The sequence below is a fragment of the Homo sapiens genome, chromosome X (assembly GCF_000001405.40).
Source record: "Homo sapiens chromosome X, GRCh38.p14 Primary Assembly".
Classification (NCBI taxonomy): Eukaryota; Metazoa; Chordata; class Mammalia; order Primates; family Hominidae; genus Homo; species Homo sapiens.
This window is the reverse complement of record NC_000023.11, coordinates 19,711,337-19,733,533: the sequence shown is the minus strand read 5'-3', so window position 1 is coordinate 19,733,533 and position 22,197 is coordinate 19,711,337. Positions and strand designations below refer to the sequence as shown.

At 40.9% G+C, this 22,197-nt stretch overlaps 1 protein-coding gene across 27 annotated transcripts in view, besides 2 other annotated features; it reads left to right on the top strand.

Moving 5' to 3' along the window:
- The window catches only part of SH3KBP1 (SH3 domain containing kinase binding protein 1), a 353,624-nt gene that overhangs the window by 154,067 nt on the left and 177,360 nt on the right, over positions 1 to 22,197 (top strand). The window lies entirely within an intron of this gene.
- Positions 4,214 to 4,313: an enhancer, noted in NCBI's record as "active region_29464". NCBI's record gives its function as "activates an Ori minimal core promoter by ATAC-STARR-seq in GM12878 lymphoblastoid cells {active_cell/tissue: GM12878}" and the evidence as "EXISTENCE:reporter gene assay evidence [ECO:0000049][PMID:35858748]".
- Positions 10,557 to 11,057: an enhancer, noted in NCBI's record as "H3K4me1 hESC enhancer chrX:19740595-19741095 (GRCh37/hg19 assembly coordinates)". NCBI's record gives its function as "activates a minimal SCP1, AML or CMV promoter by ChIP-STARR-seq in naive H9 embryonic stem cells {active_cell/tissue: H9 hESC(naive)}" and the evidence as "EXISTENCE:reporter gene assay evidence [ECO:0000049][PMID:30033119]".

Here is a 22,197-nt window from a genome sequence, read left to right as displayed (position 1 = left end):
TATGAGGTTAGTATACAAATTGATTTTTATTTTGAAATAGCCACTTTTCCAGGACCATTTATTGAATAGCCCTTTCCAGTGATTGTATGATACCTCATTTATCATATAATATTATTATATATATGAAAGTCTTTGGGCTTTCAATTCTATACCATTAATTTGTTTTACCATTCTTAATATGGTTAACTATTATGGCTTTATAATATATTTTAATATATTGTATGGCAAGCTTTCAGCCTTCCTATCACCCTTCATTTTCAAAAAGGATTTAGTTACTCTCATTTATTTTAAAATCATGTCATCAAGTTAAAATTTTAATTTCATTCAAATTATAAGTCACTTTTAGAAGAATTAACATTTTTCTAACATTTTTGTTTAAAGCTTTGCATTGTTGCATAAACCAACTTTATATACAAGTATATAAGTGAAAACCTTTTCTCCCCCACCTCTCCTCCCCAAACATCACAGTAGGCTAATTCTTGTAAATTAAAACATCTATCCCCTTCTGAATTCTAAACAGCTTATTCTAGTCAGCCAGTGACATGGGATGTCACTCTGTTGAGTCAAGTGTTACAGTTTTATTTGTGCAGTCTTGCTTGTTGATGACGTTATTCCCAGATAGATAGTGGTTATTGTTGGCTTTTGTAAATAGGATCTTTCCCCTCATATTTTTTGTATTGCTGGTACGTAGAGGAATTTAACTTTTGAAGATTTCTTTACAATAGCCCTTGTGGAACACTCTTGCTAATTAAAAAAAGTTCCTCTTTTATATTTAGAAAATTATTAGTACCTATCAGTCACTAGTTTTCAGAAGGTGGATAAGTGGAAATTATAAAATGCTGTATTTGAACAAATGATATTTTAGAAACAAAAATTCCTTGGCTTGGATAGAACGCTGTGTGTGTGTGTGTGTGTGTGTGTGTGTGTGTGTGTGTGTAGGGATTTTTATCCAAATTAAGGAATTTTATATATACAGTTGACCCTTGAACAACACAGCTTTGAACTGCACAGGTCCACTTATATGTAGATTTTTTTCAGCCAAATGCAGATAGATAATACAGCATTTGTGGGATGCCAAACCTGTGTATACAGAGGGCCGATTTTTCCCGTGCTTGAGTTCCACAGAGCCAATTGCGAGACTTAAGGATGTGTGGATTTTGGGATGCGCTAAGGGTCCTGGAACCAATCTGCCGGGAATACTGAGGGATGATTATATATGTATATATATGCAGCTGTTAACAGTGTTATATTGTATATTTCAAAATAAACAGAAGATTTTGAAGTTTTCACTACAAAGAAATGATAAATATTTGAGGCGATGGATAAGCTAAATACCCTTACATGATCATTATACAATGTATACATGGATCATAACATCACACTCTACCCCATAAATATGTACAATTATTATGCGTCAATTGAAAAGAAAACTTAAAAAAGTGGACATGTGCAAACCTCAAAAAAAATCAAAAGCTAACTTTCATTAGTTCATATTATGAAAACAACTGTTTTTGTTTGGTTTTTCAACTATGACAGTATATTAAATGAAAAAAGGAAAACCTTAGTCATCTGATCTTAATGATTTGTAATCTGATCTTAGTGATCTGATCTTAAATGAATTTTTTTATATATTTGGGGCTGCATTTCATTCTATTAATGCATTTTTATTCTTCCGCAAGTGTTGTGCATGTTTAGGTTTTTATTTTCTTTACTAGATTATAAGGCGCTTGAAGGAAAGAAACCACATCTTATTCATCTTGGAGCTCACTTTAATTGTTGAATGAAGTATATGCTTGTACTCATATACCCTAATCCTTTTGAAAAACAAGTTACTTCAAGGCAAACTACCAGAGGGAGAACTAACTTATTAAGTTACATGGTTAAGGGGAAGCTGTTGAAATTCTGTGATTCAGAGAAATTGTCTTTGGTTTCTGAGTACCGAGGGAGAGAGGAGACTTATTAAACATCTGTTTTAAGAGTGGATCCTAGAATAAGTACTAAACCTAGGTCTTGGCCTGACCACAGGCAGTTTACTAGAGAGAGAGAAGGTGAAATAGTTTCAGAGGAGGAAATTGCAACTAGATCTTGAGTAATGAGATTGAAGGTGGAGCTAAGTTAGAAGGGTAACACTGTGCTCAAAGAGAAGGGTCCTAAAATTTTCACATTCACTTGTGTAACATGCGATGGCGAGTGCGAGAATGTATACAAGACAAGGGAAGGTTTCAATTTCATGTGAACATTTTAATCTATATTTGATTTTACCCTTTTGCCCAAGGTTTTATAAATGAAAGTGTAGGCCGGGCGCAGTGGCTCACGCCTGTAATCCCAGCACTTTGGGAGGCCGAGGCGGGCGGATTACCTGAGGTCAGGAGTTCGAGATCAGCCTGGGCAACATGGTGAAACCCCGTCTCTACTAGAAATACAAAATTAGCCGGGCGTGGTGACACATGCCTGTAATCCCAGCTACTCGGGAGGCTGAGGCAGGAGAATCGCTTGAACCTGGGAGGCGGAGGGTGCAGTGAGCTGAGATTGCGCCATTGCACTCCAGCCTGGGCAACCAGAGTAAATCTCCGTCTCACCAAAAAAATAAACAAATAAATAAAATAAAATAAAATAAATGAAAGTGTATAGAGTTCAGTTTATTTTCTATATAGATGTGTACTCTTCCCTTTTTGTTGGAGTACATGGGCCAGACCTAGCTTTTCCTTCATTTCTGGGCTTTTCCTTCTCTGATATTTGATTCCTCATCACTTTCATCAGGACCAGGGAGGGAAAGTTAATTTTGGACTATGTGATTATGCATCAGTTTTGCCTGTCAGGAACCTAGTATTATGAATGATTAATGATTAGTATTGTTCTAAGATTTCAATTTAGGTAAAATTTATCTCTCTAACCACCTGCAGCTTGCTTGTTGAAGATTCTGTAACACTAGAGCAGGGAGGTGACAATCCCTGTGGGGGTGGCCTGAGAAGCTCTTTTCTCCCCTCCCACCCTTAGTCTCTTCTTGCTTCTTTTTCCTCTCTGCCCCCTTCTTTTCTCCCTAGGGCCCACTTGGATGGATTCTTTGGTATTGTCATTCCTTACAAAGGAAAATAAAAATTCCCAGATAGTTTGCCACTGAGTTTTCCCTTTAATTATTTTACCCCTTTGCTAGCCCACATTATTTGAGAGATTAAAGCAAACAAATGAACACAGCGTGCTGCTTAATAGTTATTTCTTTTATGGAAATAGAGTTCTGCTATGTTGCCCAGGCTGGTCTTAAACTCCTAGCCTCTAGTGATTCTCCCAACTTGGCTGCTCAAAGTGCTTAATAGTTATTTTTTTTAAATATTGTTTAGGGAAAAAATGATACCAGTTGTTTTATATTTGACCTTTTTTAAAAAAAAGCTTTAAAGCAGCTCTTTGATAATATCACTAGAAGTAGTTTATTTCTTTTTGAAGAAATTAGCTTCCTTTGTAATTTACTTTTGACTACATCATTGAGATAAAAGGTAAGGCAGTTGAAACTATGTACAAAAAGGAAAAAAAAAATCGCTCAGTTACTGATGGGTCTGGCACTGTGTGGTTAGGGATGGGAAAACCAGCATACACTAGAAATGAAAATCCTGTTTCTATTTCATACGTATACATATACTTTAAAAACTTTACATGTTCCCTCCTAAGCTTTGGCCCTGTAGCTCTTGCCCTTCTTGCACAGAACTCATGTGCAATTCACATTAATGTTGAAGAGACTCCTTTCCTCCCTCCTTCTCTCCCTTCTTCCTTCTTTCCTCTGTTCCTTTCTTCCTCTGACTCTCTCTCCATCCTTCTCTTCCATACTTTCTAAGGACCATCCCATTCTGGAGTGGGCCCTTAGGGTGTGGGTATATTTAAGTGTGTGTCATTAGCTCTTAGTTACCTTTTCACAGAGTTGATGGGAATAAAATGGACCATTGAAATCCAGGAATGACCCACAGAAATGCTTTTGCAGTTTAACTCTAAACCTTTTTATTAGAAAGGCTTATATAGGATGTGATTTCACTTTTCTCACTTCCTGCTGATCCTCTCAGGTGGAGGTGATCATAAATTTAAAAATGACCAAACCTAGGCAGCAAGAAGGAAGAGAGGTAAGCATCAGCTGGGGATTTTGTAGGATCAGTCTCTCTCCTTCCACATGTTCATAAATTATGAACTGTATCGATCCATTCACATTGATGTATGAACTCATTCTGCCAAAAGCCCAAGTTGAAGTGGAAAATGGAAAGTGATCATTTATTAGAGCTGATGAGTGTCAGCTTTGTACTGAAACAAAGAAAACGAAACCACACAGGCCTGGACGGCCTCCCCTTCAACCCTAAGATTCTGTGGCCAGAGGCAAGTGGGCCTGGGGGTAACCAGCAAGACTTAGTAACAGTTTACAAATATCCTGCCTGTTTTCAGTGGCTTGGAATCAGACTGTTATCTCCTTGAGGCTGGAAAAGCATTTCTGTGCCTTTATCTCCCCATGACTTCTGCCCAGGATGATTCAGACACCCTCACTGGAATTATCTTCATCTGAATAATTCTCAGCTCTATCAGCCATTATCAATGTTGGGAAGGTTATTTCACCTTTTTAAGCATCGATTTCTTCATCTGCAAGTTGAAAGGTTGAGAAGTTTCTAGTATGTCTTCAGCTGGGCATGGTTTCTAAAAGCTTTTGTTCCTATCTTCATCAGAACATAACTAGTTCTCCAGTTCAGGGTCATGGTACTGTTTATATAGAGTCCTCAAAGCATTTTAACCTGTGAGCCCTCATTTGGTTATTAAGCTTTTGGAAATGTTGAAAAGCTTAAGCATCCCACTTCTCTCTTTGCAAACCCTCCCCAACGTTCCCAGGAAGAAATATTGGGGTCCAGTCTGTGTACCATCAGCCCATTCTAGCTCCTACAGCTGACAAACATTTGTTGAACAAATCAAGTTCCCACATGACCAGTCAGAAGCCTCTGGAGAGCTTCAAAGAATTCTTTGCTGAGAATGCCCCATGGTGATTTTGTTGAGTAATGAAGTTAAAATAATGTTTCTGTCTTTGGTAAACCACCCATTCTCACCTACTGCATGGCAGCATGGGTTTCTGCCAGTCTTTACTCAGCTTGATTGCACAAGGTTGGGCAGGTGGTGAGATGTGTATTCACTTTGCCTTCAGCTCAGCATGCTTCAGAATACAGGTTTAGCATCCCAAATGTGAAAATCCAAAATCTGAAATGCTCCAAAATCTGAAACTTTTTATGTGCTGACGTGACGTTTAAAGAAAATGCTCATTGGAGCATTTTGGATATCAGATTACAGATACTCAACTGGCAAGTATAATGCAAATATTCCAAAACATGAAAAAAAAATCTGAAATCCAAGACACTTCTGGTCCCAAGCTTTTCTGATGAGGGATATTCAACCTGAACTGCCTCTTCCAAAGGCTTTTGCATATCATCTCCATATTTATTTCAGTGGGTGTGGGATAGAATCACAAATTCTAGCTGCCAGTTCCTTCTCCTCAACCTGTTAGATGATAGCTAAAGATTGCTAGCTAAGTGATACTTTTTTATTTGAGATGGTGTCTCGCTCTGTTTCCAGGCTGGAGTGCAGTGGTGTGATCTCGGCTCACTGCAACCGGGTTCAAGTGATTCTCCTGCTTCAGCCTCCTGAGTAGCTGGGACTTACAGTCACGTTCCACCGCGCCCAGCACGTTTTTGTATTTTTAGTAGATACTGGGTTTCACCATGTTGGCCAAGATAGTCTCAATCTCTTGACCTTGTGATCTGCCTGCCTCGGCCTCCCAAAATGCTGGGATTACAGGCATGAGCCACCACGCCCGGCCTAAGTGATATTTTTTAAAGCATGTTTAATATTTCAAAATGAGGTTTTAACAGAGACACATAGAAAGGGATCAACAAGGGACTTGAACAAATATTTGCACACCCACATTCAGAGCAGCATTATTCGCAATAGGCAAAAGGTGGAAGCAACCCAAGTGTTCATTGAGGATGAATTGATAAACAAATATTATCCAGCCTTAAAAAGGAAAGAAATTATGACACATGCTGTAACATGGATGAACTTTGAGGACATTATGCTAAGTGAAATAAACCAGACACAAACAGACAAATACTATATGATTCCACTTATGTGAGGTACCTAGAGTAGTCAAATGTATAGAGACAGAAAGTAGGATGGTGGTTTGCAGGGGCTGAGGGAGGGATAATGGGCAGTTATTGTTTCATAGGTATATAATTTCAGTTTTGCAAAATGAAAAGACTTCTGGAGATGGATGTTGGCGATAGTTGCACAACAATGTGAGTGTACTTAATGCCACTGAACTGTACACTTAAAATGGTTAAGATGGTAAATTTTATGTTATGAATGCTTTACCACAATAAAAAAGGATCAAGAATAACATGACAAATACCCAACACCCTTCTACCCACTACCAGCTAAGAAATTCTATCAATTAGCAATTACAGTTGATCTGTCATGTATGTTACCTTGTCTCAGTTGCATTGTGTGTGTTTCTTGAGAAGCGTGATGGATGACTTGGGTAAGAGAATTCTGGGTCAAGAGAGCATTCCTTCTCCTGTTTTCTTTTCATTTTTATTTGTTAGTTAAAGATAAACATAGTACAATAAGTAAAAAATTAATAACCTTTCTCTGTCCTTTAAAATTAGTGTTCCTAACTCTAAAAAGCAATGTTTCTAGAAACTTCTGTTTACCCTTTGGGCTCTGATGAATGTGGAGAAAAGAGAGAGAACACTTAACTCACCAGGATGGAAGAATAAGATAAAATATTTGCAACCTCCTTCCTCCCTGAATGTTGTGTTAAACGTTTTTTTGAGGACTTGCGCTGTGTCAAGTGTTGTCGTATCAGTTATCTATTGCTACAATATTGCTGCATAACAAATTACTACAAAACCCCAGCAGCATACAACATTAAGCTGCTCTGTGTATCTTGCTTGCATTATGTGTACAACAAACCCCTATGACATGAGTTTACCTATATAACCTGCACAATGTACCCCTGAACCTAAAATAAAAGTTAAAAAAAAAAAGAATTAGGACCTTAATGCAATCAGTACGCCCTAGTTACCTATGCAAATGTTGTAGTGGAGACATCTATGCAGTCCTTTAAACAACCCTGAGAAGTAGGTGGCATTGGCCTCATTTTGCAGTTGGAAAAAGCAAGGCTCAGAGAGGTTATAAGACCTATCCAAGGCCACACTGTTAGTGAGTGGTGTAGTTTGGGTTTGAACCTGGGTCTGTCAGACGCCTTCCTCCATGCCGCCTCTGCCAAACTCCATGCAGCACCTTGGATTACCACCTATGGAAACATTCTGTTTTGCCTTTTGTGCTTCTATTTGCCCCTCCCACTCCCGCTCTACTCCTTTCTCTATTATATTTGATTGAGTCCTCTTCTCCAACTTCTGAAGTGTAAGCTGTTTCTATAGTCCTGTCTTTGGCATCTTCCTGGGTTCAGCTAATGCCATGAAGCATACGATTCCCTAAGCCCAACCTCTAGGCTGGCCCTCCCTCCTTGCTGCCTTCATGTCCACTCTCAGACACTCTGTGCTGGCTACTGGTTTCTGGGCTGCAAGTCATAGGCAACGTGGTTCCATCTGGCGTAGGTCATGAGGAAATACCTGTCTTGTGTAACAGGAAGTTGTACACACACAGGGCAGGCTTGTCAGGGCCCAGGTTTCTTTTCTGTGCCCTGCCTCTCCTGGAGTTGGCTTTGTGCTGTGACCAGCAAGTGGAGCAACAGTGGACTTCCCAGTTTACATCCAGTGGGGAAGTGCAGGGGACCTCTCTTCATTTAGATGCTCTGGGCAGACCCACCTTTGTCTCTCACTGTACCACCCTGACCTAGGACTGCCTGCCCATCCCTGAACCTATTTCTGGTGGGAGCTGACCCACGTCTGGTGGTCTGTGGTGGAGTGGCAGATGGGAGACAGTCACTGTGTCCCCAACTGTCCCTATGTGGTTGAGCAGCAGATTCTCTCTCCTGTCAGACTCCTGTTGCTTCTGTATTCTGCATTTTATTTGTTTTTATTTATTTTTTTGAGACAGGGTCTCACTCTGTCACTGAGGTTGGAGTGCAGTAGCGGAATCATGGCTCACTGCAGCCTCCACCTCCAGGGCTCAAGCAATCCTTCTACCTCAGCCTACCCGAGTAGCTGGGACTACAGGTGTGTGCCACCATACCTGGCTAATTTATCTATTTTTTTTTTTTTTTTTTTTAGAGTAGAGACAGGGTCTTGCTATGTTGCCCAGGCTGGGTTCAAACTCCTGGTCTCAAGCAATCTGCCTGCCTCAACCTCCCAAAGTGCTGGGATTACAGGTGTAAGCCACCGTGCTCAGCTGTGTTCTGCATTTTAGTTGGTGGCATTACCAACCTTCACTTCCTCCCATCGACACTTTGGGGTCATTTTTAATTCTTCTTTCTTCTTCATCCCCTTATTTACTTACATGTTTTGTTCTAACTTTGTTTATGAGATGGTTGTTAAAGGTCTGTTCTGGGCTAGCCTGTAGTAATCCCCAAGGAGGCCAGCTGAGTTCCTGTTCACAGAGTCTAGGATTTGAGAATCAAACAATCCCCAGGCAGCGTGGGCAGGGTAAAGAGAACATTATACACTGGGTGCTGTGCTCTCTCATGGTTGTTATTGGTGGTGGTGGTTGCAGGGGACCATAACCCTGCCTCAAAAGCAGTCAGGGAAGGTGTCTGGGAGGGGGTCACATGTAAGCTGATGATTCAACCTTAGCCATGTCTCTTGTTCTTCCTTTTTAAAAAAATATTCCCTGGTTTCTGATTTGGACTCTTAACACTTCTTCCTATAAACCAGAAGTCAGCAAACGATGGCCCATGGGCCAAACCTGGCACTGGCTGTTTTTGTAAGTCAAGTTTTATTGGCACACAGGCACACCCATTCATTTATGTGTGGTCTATGGTTGTTTTCACCACTACAATGGCAGAGTTGAGTAGTTGCTACAGAGGCCATATGGCTCACAAAGCCTGAAACATTGACTCTCTGGCCCTTTACAGTAATAGTTTGCTGATCTCTGCGGCAGACCATTAGAAAAACCGAATTCCTGCCTGCCGGGAAGTTTCGTCTTGCAAAAAGAGATATACGTAATATATAGAAAATTTTATAATAAAGCCCTTTGAGGTAAAGACAATTAAGTGCTGAATACAATATTTAAATGCTGACAAAAATTATTGTTGGGGAGATTAATGTGGATTTATTTTTCCCTACTTTCTCTATTTTTCTCTGCTCTTTCTCTATTCTGCAAATGAATCTTCATTCATTTTTTTTCGCCTCAGGATTTTTAGACTGACACTTTCTAGATTTATAACTTCTAAGTTTACACTTTTCATGACACTCACTTTCTGCCCTCTGAGAGGGGGAGGAAAGGTATGGATCAGTTTGGAAAATGAAGTCTGGGTGAGATATAACCCCCTCTTTTAAAAAAATACACCTTTGCACCTTTCCTGTATTTACAAGGAAAGTGGGATTTGTTTAAATAAAGAGAAAAGTCTTTATCTGCTTCGAATAAATAGATAGGACGTGCATTACTAACCTGTTTGTTTGGTGGGGTCGGCGGGGGACATCTGCTTAATAATCTGCCCTTTTCTGGATGATGCTTATTCCCCACCCCACCAAGAGGGGACTGATTTGTTGTTTTTCTGATCCCCACACAATCATCTGCTCAGTAGGGCAGCTTTTGTGCTATTGGGTTGTTTACACCTCTCTGCTCTTTTAAAACATTTTCTAGTTTGACCTTTTCTTTTAGACTCATCCTAACTTTTCTTAGACTTACTATAAAAATAATACATGTTTAGTGTAAAAAATTAACAGAGTCAAGTCATGGTGTAAAGAGTCACATCAAATCCCTTCCCTGAGTCATACTTCCTGGAAGAGACTTGGTTCATGGTCATCCCTACAGATCTCTGTGTAGATATTAGGAGGAACCATAAGCAGATGCAGATAGTCATTTGATCATAAAGATGTCAATTTCAAACACATAGTGGTACATACATCTTGGCATTTTTTAAAAACACAGATGGGATCATACTGTTCAGGCTATATTGCAATTTTTGTATTAAGTTGACGAGAATCTTGGAAATCTTGCCGTATCAGTTCATTTAGAGCTATGCTTCTCTTTGCTAGTTTGTGTGGAGATACACCTATGGCTTAATTAACCAGTTCCCTGATTGAAGGACGTTTAGGATAATTCTGGTTTTTCACTATTCTGACTAATGTAGCAGTGGACATTATGCATATATCTTTGTACATTTCATGTGAGTTATCTGGAGTATAACTTCCTGAAAGTGGAATTGGTGTTTTCTTGACTCTTTTACTTTTAACACTTTTTTTTTTTTTTTTTTTTTTGAGACGGAGTCTCATTCTGTCACTCAGGCTGAAGTGCAGTGGCGTGATCTTGGCTCACTGCAGCCTCAACTTCCCAAGCTCAGGTAATCCACCTCAGCCTCCCAGGTAACTGGGATTACAGGCGTGTGTCACTACGCCTGGCTAATTTTGTTTTGTTTTGTTTTGTTTTTTGTGGAGATGGGGTTTTGCCATGTTGCCCAGGCTAGTCTCGAACTCCTGAGCTCAAGAGATCTGCCTGCCTTGGCCTCCCAAAGTGCTGGGATTACAGGCATGAGCCAGCATGCCTGGTTGAGACATTTTTTTTAGACTTCTTTTTTTTTTTTGAAGAACTGGTCAGATGCCTCTGGTCCCAGCTGGCCATGCTGACCATAGGGTCCTTCATCCTCTAGTGATACCACAGAAATGGACCTCAGTGGAAGTCAGGCAATCCCTCCAGGCAGATCCTGTGCAATTATAAACATTAGCATCAACTTCCCTCCTTCTATGGAATATTTCTGTGCTTGCAGCCCGGCAGGCACTGGGGACGGACACACACACACACACACACACACACACACACACACACACACACACCAGTGCGCACGCGCACACACACACACACACACACACACCAGTGCAGCTGAGTAGGGCTGGGAGCAAGGGGTGTGTATGAAGCCGTGTGGGTACATGGAAGCCCTAGTGACCTCTTTATACCCGAAGGATAGGGGGAAACTTGTAGTGCTTTCCAGAATTTAAGTAGTCAGAAAAGGGAGAGAAAAGTAGGGCTGAGTTGGGGGAGGGTAATGAGGCTGTGGCAGGTGTCAGCCTGCAAATTAGCTGTGCTGGCCTCCCTGGAAGAAATCATGGGCATTGAGCTCAGCCAAGCCAGGGCACCAGATGACAGAGTGGGGCTCTCGCCAGCCACTGACCCAAGTAATAAGAGGGCACTTGGCAAGCAGCTTCATGAGCACCGTGCCACGTGGCCATTTGTGGTTCAGGACTTGCGAAGTTGCCCAAAGTGGCTCTTTTGTTATGATGTGTTACTCCAAAGCTTATGAAGCATTCCAATGAACAGAGTCCAAATGTTATGTTTACTGCTTTGTTAAATATAAATAGTTTACCCTTGTACCTTTGGGTTTCCTTGGAAACTGTAATTTTTTTAAAGATAGGTTCTTGCTCTGTTGCCCAGGCTGGAGTGCAGTGGTGCAGTCATGGCTCACTGCAACCTAGAACTCATGGGCTCAAGTGGTCCTCCCATCTCAGCTTCCCGGGTAGCTGAGACTACAGGCACACATCACCATGCTCTGTTAAATTTTTTTATTTTTATTTTTTGTAGAGACAGGTTCTCGCCACGTTGCTCAGGCCTTGAAATTCTGCCCTCAAGGGATCCTTCCACCTTGACCTCCCATAGTGCTGGAATTATAGGTGTGAGCCGCTGCACCCAGCCTGGAAATTACAATCTTGAAAGCAGGGATTGGGGGTTCTTTTTATTTAAAAAATTTCCATGGAACCTGTTTGCCAGTCTGGTGAAGCCTGTGGACCCCTTTTCAGAATAATGTTGGTAAATGAATAAAAAGGGAACCAAAGAATTACAAAGGAAACCAATTATGTTAAAATAGTTGTCAAAATAGTACAAAAATACAAGCAAGACATATGCTTTATTATAGCAACATCCAGCAGTGGGTCAGGAGGTGATCATAATTTTGAAGCAGGGGTGAGTGTAAATGATAGTTCAAGATAACTGCAACTGTGAAATGAAATGAAAATATCTATTCATGTAGTGGGAAATAAATAAATTTCATAGATGCTGCTAGTACCATTGTGGTTTGTTGCTTAGATTCACGGTGAGAATAAAGGCCAAATTTCAGAAGATAGTAAAAGATGTATTTTTCTTCCCATGTAAGTTTAGACCCCCTGAATTCTATCCACACACCCCAGTTAAGGACCTCTGCTTAAGGGGTTTAGCCTTTCAGATTATGAGGAATGAATTGCAGGGATATAAACTCCCATTTGCATCAAGAAAATTCAGAAATACCTAGGCTTCCTCCCCTCTTTATTCTGATGGGGATGAGAAGGGAAACTATATTAAAAATGAGTCAAAATTTAAAAATATTATGACTACCTGCAATGAAGATCTCCCCCTACCCCCAAAAGAGAGGGTACATGTGGAATTCTTTGACACTTTCTAAATCTCCGAGCACAGTGGCCATTTTTGGTACTGATTTTAAAAACTGGGAAACCCTAGATTTGTTTATGGTGTGTATCTCCCACCCCCACAACCCACACACACATACCTCCCAGTAATTCTCTAAGATTAGGCAAGACAGAAGTATCCCAGATGAAGGTCTTTAGGATTTTCTAGACCTTTGTTACAGTTCTTCAAATGTTTGTGTCTTTTTTTCTCCTCTCCTACCCCTCATTCCCTCATCTTTTCCCCCTCCCTGCCCATTCTACCTTTAACTGTAAAAGTTAGGTGTCTGATATATTCATTTGTCAGCAGCAAAGTTTGAGAATGCCTTTAAAAATAGATATGTTAGAGGGAGTATGTTGGATAGAAAGGAGAAATCTTGTTTATGCTCAATAAATAACTTACATTTAGAACCTTCCTTCAATTTTTCCTTTGAAATTCTGTATTCTCATTTCACTTGAATGACTCTGCATGGAGCGTTTAAAAGTAGATCAAACAAAACCCTATAAATATGTTGAGTTCTTTTGGGCATTTTGCCAAAATTAGCCTTGCAGGGAAAAGCAGTGTGCTTTACGTATTGGATTTTCTCCTCTGAAAATCCAGACTCCCTCTCCTCTGGAGAGCTAGCTGCCAGGGCTGGGGGAAAGTCAAGCCAGGGACACATTAGGGAAGTGTCCCTGGTATGGCCTGCTGAGGTTGGGTTATTTGGATTGAGGGTTGTGCTGAAAGGCCAAAACCAATGCCTGGGACCAGCCTGAAGAAAGATGAAAAGCAGAGGGACGTTTAGAGACGTCACTGATTTTATGTTATGACGTGATTCCTTTATCTCACTCTGATTGGAAGGGAAGGCTGGTGAAAAAAACATTAACAGAGCTGTCTTTTAACAGATTCCTGAATGTAAAGCCAAATGGAAAAAAGGGAGAGAGTCAGGTGGAAGTAAGCCCCTTGGAAAGTAGGTCTGTCTCCATCATCCCAATTTTATACGTGAGAAAACCGAGGCAGAGAGCCACGCAGGGGTTGCAATGCTGGGTGAGTTGGGCCGTTTGTCTCTTCTGTATTGTTAACTCAGGGTTCTCTATTATTATTATTATTATTGTTATTATTATTATTATTATTATTATTATTAGTTAGAGGTGGGGTCTCACTATGTTGCCCAAGCTGGTCTTGAACTCCTGGGCTCAAGTGATCCTCCTGCCTCAGCCTCCCAAAGTGCTAGGATTACAGGTGTGAGCCACCATGCCTGGCCCCAGGGTTCTCTTTTATGTGCTTTAATGCTTTAAGTGAAGACCACGTATCCATGAGCAGTGAAATCAGAGCCCCTGCACCCTTTCACATGGCTAATTCACATATCATTTTTATAAGATATAGTTGAGGTGGAGGATGTTGAGTTCTTCATGCTCATGGCACCAAAATTACAGATGTGGCTTCTAAAGAAATATCAGATGACAATGTTAATGTTAAAATATACATATACAGCTCCTCTTTGCAGAAACTCAGTTTATTCAATGGATGGCCCCTTTGACTATTACGTTGGAAGTAGAAACTTGATTTGGGGGGGTCAGATGTTAATTGCCCAAATTTAAGACAGTTTTCAGTGACTTCTTTAAATGAGGCATTAGACTCTGAAGTTCATAGGGCTGAGGAGGGCCTGGATCGGGGATTTTCTAGATATATGGCACCTGGGGTCCACATAGGGATCTAGAGTGGTGCAGTGGCATCGCCCTAACCATCATGAGGCAGATGTGAGTGAGTCGAATTGGTTGATACAGATGTGCGTGAAAGAGCTGAGAGGTGTCAGGGTTGAAAAGATGGAGACAGACAGCAACCGACACTCACAGATAACAAAAACACAATGGAAGGAGGACAGTGCTAGAGAAAAGCAATGGTTGTTAGGAGAACCCAGAGAAGGGGCCCCCACGGCTGAATGAATGAGTATGTATGTGTGTGTGTATGTATGTGTTCCCATGAGTGAGGGGCGAGCTCGGAAGATGGACACCACAGGGCCCCTCCACCTAGTGAGAGATGGCTGTCTGGGCTGTGTAGGCTGGTGGTGTCTGGCCAGGGAAGATAACCTTGGCTTGGTCACTGATGGAATAGTATGGGCCTCCTCAGGGTTCTGTAACAGCATCTGATCAGAATAATGACTAATGTGGGCTACAGATGTGGAGCCCTGTCTCTGAGCTCACACCTCCTGCTGTGTTCGTAGACCAGCCACAACCAGTTGTCATTGGGAGGTCCGAGGCCCCTTGTCATTCAGCCCCATGAAAAGCACCTTTCTTGCTGATTGAATTGATATTTATTTCTTTCAAAACACCAACTCACTTTACCATTAATGTAATCAAAGTGTGATCAGAAAGGTAAGTTTCATAATGCAAGGTAATTATTTTAATAGGTGACTGTGATGTTTTTAAAAAGTGATTACAGTATATTACGTGCTCTTTGTGAAGACAAATTGATATTGTAGAAGCATTTAAATGAGTTTCTACCCTTCCCCCAATCTGCCTCCCCTGAAGTATCACTGTTACTTTGGGGTATAGCCTTCCATACCATTTTCTGTGCTTACACAAGTGTGTCCGTGTACATATACCCCCTTTCTCTCATTCATTTGTATCTTTTTTTGAGACAGTCTCTTACTCTGTTGCCCTCATTCATTTAATTGTATTAGACCTTCATAAATTAGTTGAATGTTGAATGGATTCATTTATTTATTAATGAACATTTGTTGAATGTATACTCTGTGCTAGGTTCCGAGTTATCAGGAGTAACTAAAATGCTACATGCTGCTTAGAGTTATGAGTGTGTGTGTGTGTGTGTGTGTGTGTGTGTGTGTGTGTGTATTTATAAAATTGGGATCATAGTATACATATTACGTGATTTAGTCTTTTAGTGTACTATGGACACCTTTTCACACTGATACACGTAGAGCTACTTGTTATATTTAATGGCTGCTGGATATACCTTCCCCTCCCAGTAGACATCCAGGTTTCACATGTAGATCTCTGTGCATATATGCATTTGCTATTAGAAACAATGCTGCCCTGAACCTTCTTATACATATATCTTTGCCTACTTAAACCAAATGTTTTCTGTCTTTTAAGGGGACCGAATATAAAATCAAACATACGTCATTTCTTGTTCATATATAGCCCTGCTCTACGGTTTAGTAAAGTTAATTCACAGGGGGCCATACGTTTGTAAGAGGAAAGCAGTTAGAGGCATAGATTAGCATTATTTAGTATTACAGATGCTTCAGACTACAAAGTTGATGGAGAATGAGTTGGTCAATTAATTGACCAACTTCGACACACCAACAAGACTGCAGGGTCTACCATCTTTCCATCCCTATAGCATCAACAATTCCAGATGGCATTGACTTTTGTTTGTTTGGTATATATATATTTTTGTTTTGAGACAGAGTCTCACTCCGTTGCCCAGGCTGAAGTGCAGTGGCACAATCATGGCTCACTGCAGCCTTGACCTCCTGGGCTCAAGCAGTCTTCCTGCCTCAACCTTTCAAGTAACTGGCACTGCAGGTGTGTGCCACCATGCCTGGCTAATTTTTTAATTTTGTGTAGAGACTGGGTCTTGCTGCCCTGTTTAATACCATGTTGAAGCTTTAACTCCCTTTCCCTCCACCTTTCAGGATGTGGAATTCATTAGTTCATTCATTTGTCGAGAATGGATTGAGTGTCTACTCAAACAGACACTGAGCTAGGTGCAGGTATGAAGGACAAGTAAGAGAAGGTCATTGGCCCCCAAAGGAGGCAACAGGCATGTCAGCTGACAATTGTTTGGCGTATGTCTGTGTCCATGTCTGCTTTGTGGCCTCTCCTTCTCTGGGTGTGTAATTCTTTCCACTGTGTTTTTCCAGCTGTGTCTTTCATTCTTCTGCTGGGCCATCTCCTGCTTCTGGGACCCCTCCCCATTGCCATTCTGCATATCCCTGACACCGAGCCCTTCTCCCTGGATCCCTGTCCTCATCACATCTTGTTCTACGCTTCTCTATCCAGAAGCCTCCTCTGGTTTCTTATTGCCCACAAAATAAAGTCCTCATCTTTAGCTTGGCATCCAGAGTCCACTAGAAACTCACTCCCAATCTGCCTTCCTGGTATCATCTTGCGTTGGTGGAAGAAGAGGGCTGAAGACCACAACTTATTTAACCCATGTACCCTGGACAAGTTATTGAGGCTTCCTGTGCTCATCATAAAGATGGGGCCAGCATGCTGAACCTCCTAGAGTTGGCCTCAGGACATGAGGGAAGGCCAGTTACATGCCAAGCGTGGTTCCTGGCATGTAGCAGGCACTCAATGTTCATTTCTTTCTTTTCCAAGATGAAGGTGATTTTTCTTCTGTGACTTTTGATGTTATCTGCCTCCCTTCCTACCCTCCATGGCTCAAAGGCTCTAATAAATGGTTCCCTACTAGTTCTACATTTTCTCTTATATCCTGCCAAGACTTGGGAGAAAATGAGCACTGGCATAGCTATACCCACTTGTCAGATGCCCTCTGCCTTTGAAGTAGCAGGCAAATGGATTTCCTGTGTTCTGCGGTGCAGAGATGTTGATTATACACATCCCTGTGAAAATCAAGCAGGCTCATCTCCAGGGACCACACAATGCTGGTTAATTAAATATTATACATTTCCACTGCAACAGTCCAGGTACAGCCAAGAGGGGTTTGTAAAGAAACACCCACAGGGTCCTTTTATTTGGAGTGCCATTGGCTTCTGAAGTGTCCTCCTCTTCCTGTGAGTTGCATTATGTTGAAACAGGATGACGAGTGGAAATGTTTCCAGTAAAGAGTATGATGCAGGGGTTCTGCAAGATCGGTAAATCTACCTTCTCTTCCCTTGTACTCGGAATCTACTGGACGTCCCAAGTAAAAAATGTGTGAATCTATACATTTAGTTAAGTTTGTATTGTTTTCTCCATCCTGAGATAGAAAACATGGCTTCTTGCATAAATTGAAGTTTCCAACTCAAGAACAGCCTTTAAAGAAGCTGGCATGCTGCTCAGTAACTGGGGAGTTGCTGCCTTCCCCCCACCCCCTGAGCCCCTGGCACCTAGCAGTGTTTGTTAATGAATCATAGCAGAGACGTCCATCTTCTCCACTCTCCTGCCCCAACCCAGGAACACATTTCCAGAGCTAGAAACTACTTACTGCAACTGTTCCAAAGGTCTGTGAAATAAACATCACAGCACAGCAGCATTCACCTGTGCTATGTATTAAATACTATTGTCAGATATTTAGAAGTCTGAGTTCTCTCCCTTGTGGGAAAAGACACCGAATGTAGGACCTAAAATAACCTGATCCTGGAAGAGTCCCATTCGTTTTTGGCCTGATGCTCTTCTTTGGGCAACAGATCTGACTAGGTGTCTCTGGACCTTGGCTGCACATTAGAATCACATGGGGATCTTTTAAAATCCAGATGCCCAGGCTGCACCTCAGACCAATATTGACATTTGAATCTCTAGAGGTGGGTCCAGGCATTGGTATTTCCCCTTAAAATTTTTAATCAGAAAATATTTTAATGCACAGAAAATTTGAAACAATAGTACAGTGAACACCCACCTAGATTTACCAATTATTAGCATTTTGTCACATTTGCTTTCTATCTCTATCCTCTATCCAATCTCCACACATACTCTTTTTGATTACTTTTTTTAATCATTGGGATTTTTGGCGTTTTTTTTTTTTTTTTGGAGACAAGGTCTCACTCTGTCGCCCAGGCTGGAGTGCAGTGGTGTGATCACAGCTCACTGCAGACTTGACCTCCCCAAGCTCGGACAATCCTCCCACCTTGGCCTCTGTACTAGCTGGGACCACAAGCACATGCTGCCATGCCAAGCTAATTTTTCATTTTTTATAGAGACGAAGTTTTGCCATGTTGCCCAGGCTGGTCTTGAACTCCTGGGCTCAAGTGATCTTCCTGCCTTGGCCTCCCAAAGTGCTGGGATTACAGGTGTGAGTCACTGAGCCTGGCCTGATTTTTTTCCTTAAACGGTTTGAAAATAAATTACAAACATCAGGACACTTCATCCCTAAATACTTCAGAATGTATCTCCTAAGTATGAGGACATTCTGCTAGGTAACTGCGATAGAATTAACAACTCCGGAAATGTAACATTAACATGCTATTATCTAGAATTAGTTCATATTCAAATTTCCCCAGTTTTCTCAATGTTTTTATAGCCTTTTAAAAATGCAGAATTCAATTAGAGATCATACATTATATTTAGTTGTCATATGTCTTTACTCTTTTTAAATCTAGAATAATTCTCTAGCCTTTTAAATATCTTTTGTGATATTGACTTAAGAAAAAAATATTTCTGTGCCTAGCTTATTTCACTTAACATAATGACCTCCAGTTCCATCCATGTTGCTGCCAAAGACAGGATCTCGTTCTTTTTTATGGCTGAGTAGTAGTCTATTAGGTATCTATACCACATTTTATTTTCTTTTTTTTAAATAAATTTTATTTTTAATTTTTGTAGGTACATAGGTGTATATATTTATGGGATACATGAGATATTTTGATACGGGAATGCAGTGTGTAATAATCACATCATGGAGAATGGGGTATCCATCCCCTCAAGCATTTATCCTTTGTGTTACTAACAATCCAATTATAGTCTTTTAGTAATTTGAAAATGTATGATTAAGTTGTTATTGACTATATCATCCTGTTGTGCTATCAAATAGTAGGTCTTATTCATTCTTTCTAACTATGTTTTTTGTACCCATTAACCATCCCCATCTCACCCCCGACCTGCTCCCACTACCCTTCCTAGCCTCTGATAACCATCCTTCTATTCTCTATGTCCATTGGGTTCAATTGTTTGGAGTTTTAGATCTTACAAAGTGAGAACGTGCGATGTTTGTCTTTCGGTGCCTGGCTTATTTCACTTAACATAATGATCTCCAGTTCCATCCATGTTGTTGCAGATGACAGGATCTCATTCTTTCTATGGCTGAGTAGCATTCCATTGGGTATATGTACCACAGTTTCCTTATCCACTTTTCTGTTGATGGACACTTAAGTTGATTGCATATCTTTGCTACTGTGAATAGTGCTGAGGTAAACATGAAGAGCTAAAAAGGTTGATCTCGTGGAGGTAGAGAGTAGAGAGGTTGGTTACTGGATACAAACATACAGTTAGATTGAAAGAATAAGTTCTAGTATTCAGTAGCAGAGTAGGGTGACTATAGTTGACAACAATGTGTCGTATATTTCAAAATAGCTAGAAAAGAGGAATTGAAATGCTCCAAATACACAGAAATGATAAATGCTCAAGGTGATGGACACTCAAATACCCTGCCTTGTTCACTACACATTCTATGCATGGAACAAAATATCACATGTACCCCCTAAAAATGTACAACTATTATATATGAATAAGAATTTTTTTTTTTTGGCTAGGTGTGATGACTCACTCTTGTAATCCCAGCACTTTGGGAGGCTGAGGCAGGAGGATCACTTGAGCCCAGGAGTTCGAGACCAGCCTAAGCAACATAGCGAGACCCCATCTTTACAAAAAATACAAAAATTAGCCAGTGTGGTAGCTCACATCGGTAGTCCCAGCTACCCAGGAGGCTGAGGTGGGAGGATCACTTGAGCCTGGGAGGTCAAGGCTGCAGTGAGCCAAGATCACACCACTGTACTCCAGCCTGGGCAACAGAGTGAGACCCTGTCTCAAAAAAAAAAAGTTTTTAAGAAAAAAATCAGATGAGTTTTTTGTTTGTTTGTTTTGTTTTTTTTGAGACAGAGTCTCGCTCTGTTATCCAGATTGGAGTGCAGTGGGACAATCTTGGCTCACTGCAGTCTCCTGGGTTCAAGTGTTTCTCCTGCCTCAGCCTCCCGAGTAGCTGAGACTACAGGAGTGCGCCACCATGCCTGGCTAATTTTTGTATTTTTAGTAGAGACAGGGTTTCACCACATTGGCCAGATGGTCTCAAACTCCTGGCCTCAGGTGATCCTCCTGCCTCAGCCTCCCAAAGTGCTGGGATTACAGGCTTGAGCGACCATGCCTGACCAGATCAGTTTTTGTAAACGGCTCCTCATTTTAAATTTGCATGATTGTTTCCTCGTGGTTGGATTTAGGTAAATGTTGTGGCAGAAGTATTCTATAGGTGATGTTATAGAAGTATTCTATAGGTGACGATATTCTATAGGTCCTTCTCAGTGCAGCCTATCAGGAGGCACGTGATGTCAATTTGTCCTATGATTAGCAATGTTAACTTGGATCACTTGGGTAAGGCTGTATCTGCCAGCTCTCTTCATTCCAAGGGGACCATTTTCCTTTTGTAACTGTGGGGAGATACTTTGAGATTTGGTAAATATCTTAATCCCCAACAAGCTTTCGCCCAGTGGTTTTAGCAACCGTTGATTCTTCCCAGAATCAATTATTACTATGATGGTTATAAAATGGCTATTGTCTGGATATTTCTATCATTTCTGTATTTGTCAATGTTCTTTTGTTAAAAAAAAGAGAAAAAAGGAGCTTTCACTTCTCACCCCATAACTATCTATCTGATCTTCTTTAGCTAGCTGTCTAGCTACCTGTTAAACATATTAATATGGACTCATGAATTTTTTAATGAATGTATTGTAATAAATTCCCTCAGTACATACCGTATTGTCCCAACTTTGGTCAGTGGAAGCCCTGTCTAGCTGACTCCTGTGTCCTTTTGAAATTATCCCTTAAATGTTTGAGTACTTCATGAATTTTAGCACAACCAGATATTTTAGTCTCACTTTGTATCTTCTTTGCCGTAGGCTTAGAAGAAGCCATTTTTCTATGGAGACCTAGTTCCTCTGGAGCTGCTATTTAGGAAGGCATCAGTAGTTTTGTGAAAGCTCCCTAGTCGATTTCAATATGCAGCAAAGAATAAGAGACATAGATTAGAGTCTTCCAAGGGGAGACCACCTGTTCCCACAAGGTGTTTCTTTTCTTTTAATCACCTGTTATTTGTGGTGCTGATTTGTTGCTGAGATTTAGATTTTCATGTGTGTTACTCAAGAGATAGCTTTAAATGCAGGTCCCTGGCCCCAACCCCAAAGAGTGAGTTCAGTAGTTCTGCCTTGCATTTTAACAGTCTGGTGCAGGTGGTCCCCAGGCCATACCTGTAGAAAATGCCAGAAGTAACCCTGGAAACTGGGAATTAGGGGTTTCTTTTGATTTTCCTCTTTTGCTTTTTATCAGTGGTTTCTACCTTGCAATATGATTTCAGAATACTGCCACGTTCCCCAGGTATGTGGTAAGGATCTAATTGATTAATTTGATGGATTCTTTGAAAATATCAGATGATTTAAACCCTTGTAGCTTTACTCTTGTTCCATCATGGGGAATTGGGGATGTGAAAAAAAGAGGTGGTGGGGTGGGGGTGGGGTGGGAAGCTTTATAAGTGTTGGAAGTTTTCAGTTGACCCAAAGACTTTTTTCATCCAATACATTATTTGTTGTTATTAGTTTATTTTCACGGACACTGAATGAATTGGCCTAGTAAAGTTTTCACATGCTGTAAGATCCTAGGATGTAGGCTCTAAAATATAGTTGTGTGTGCTGTTTTGGGGACTGGGTCATGACACCGTAGTCAGTTTCTGCTATTTCCTTTTCTGAGAAGGCAATTAATTGCATTG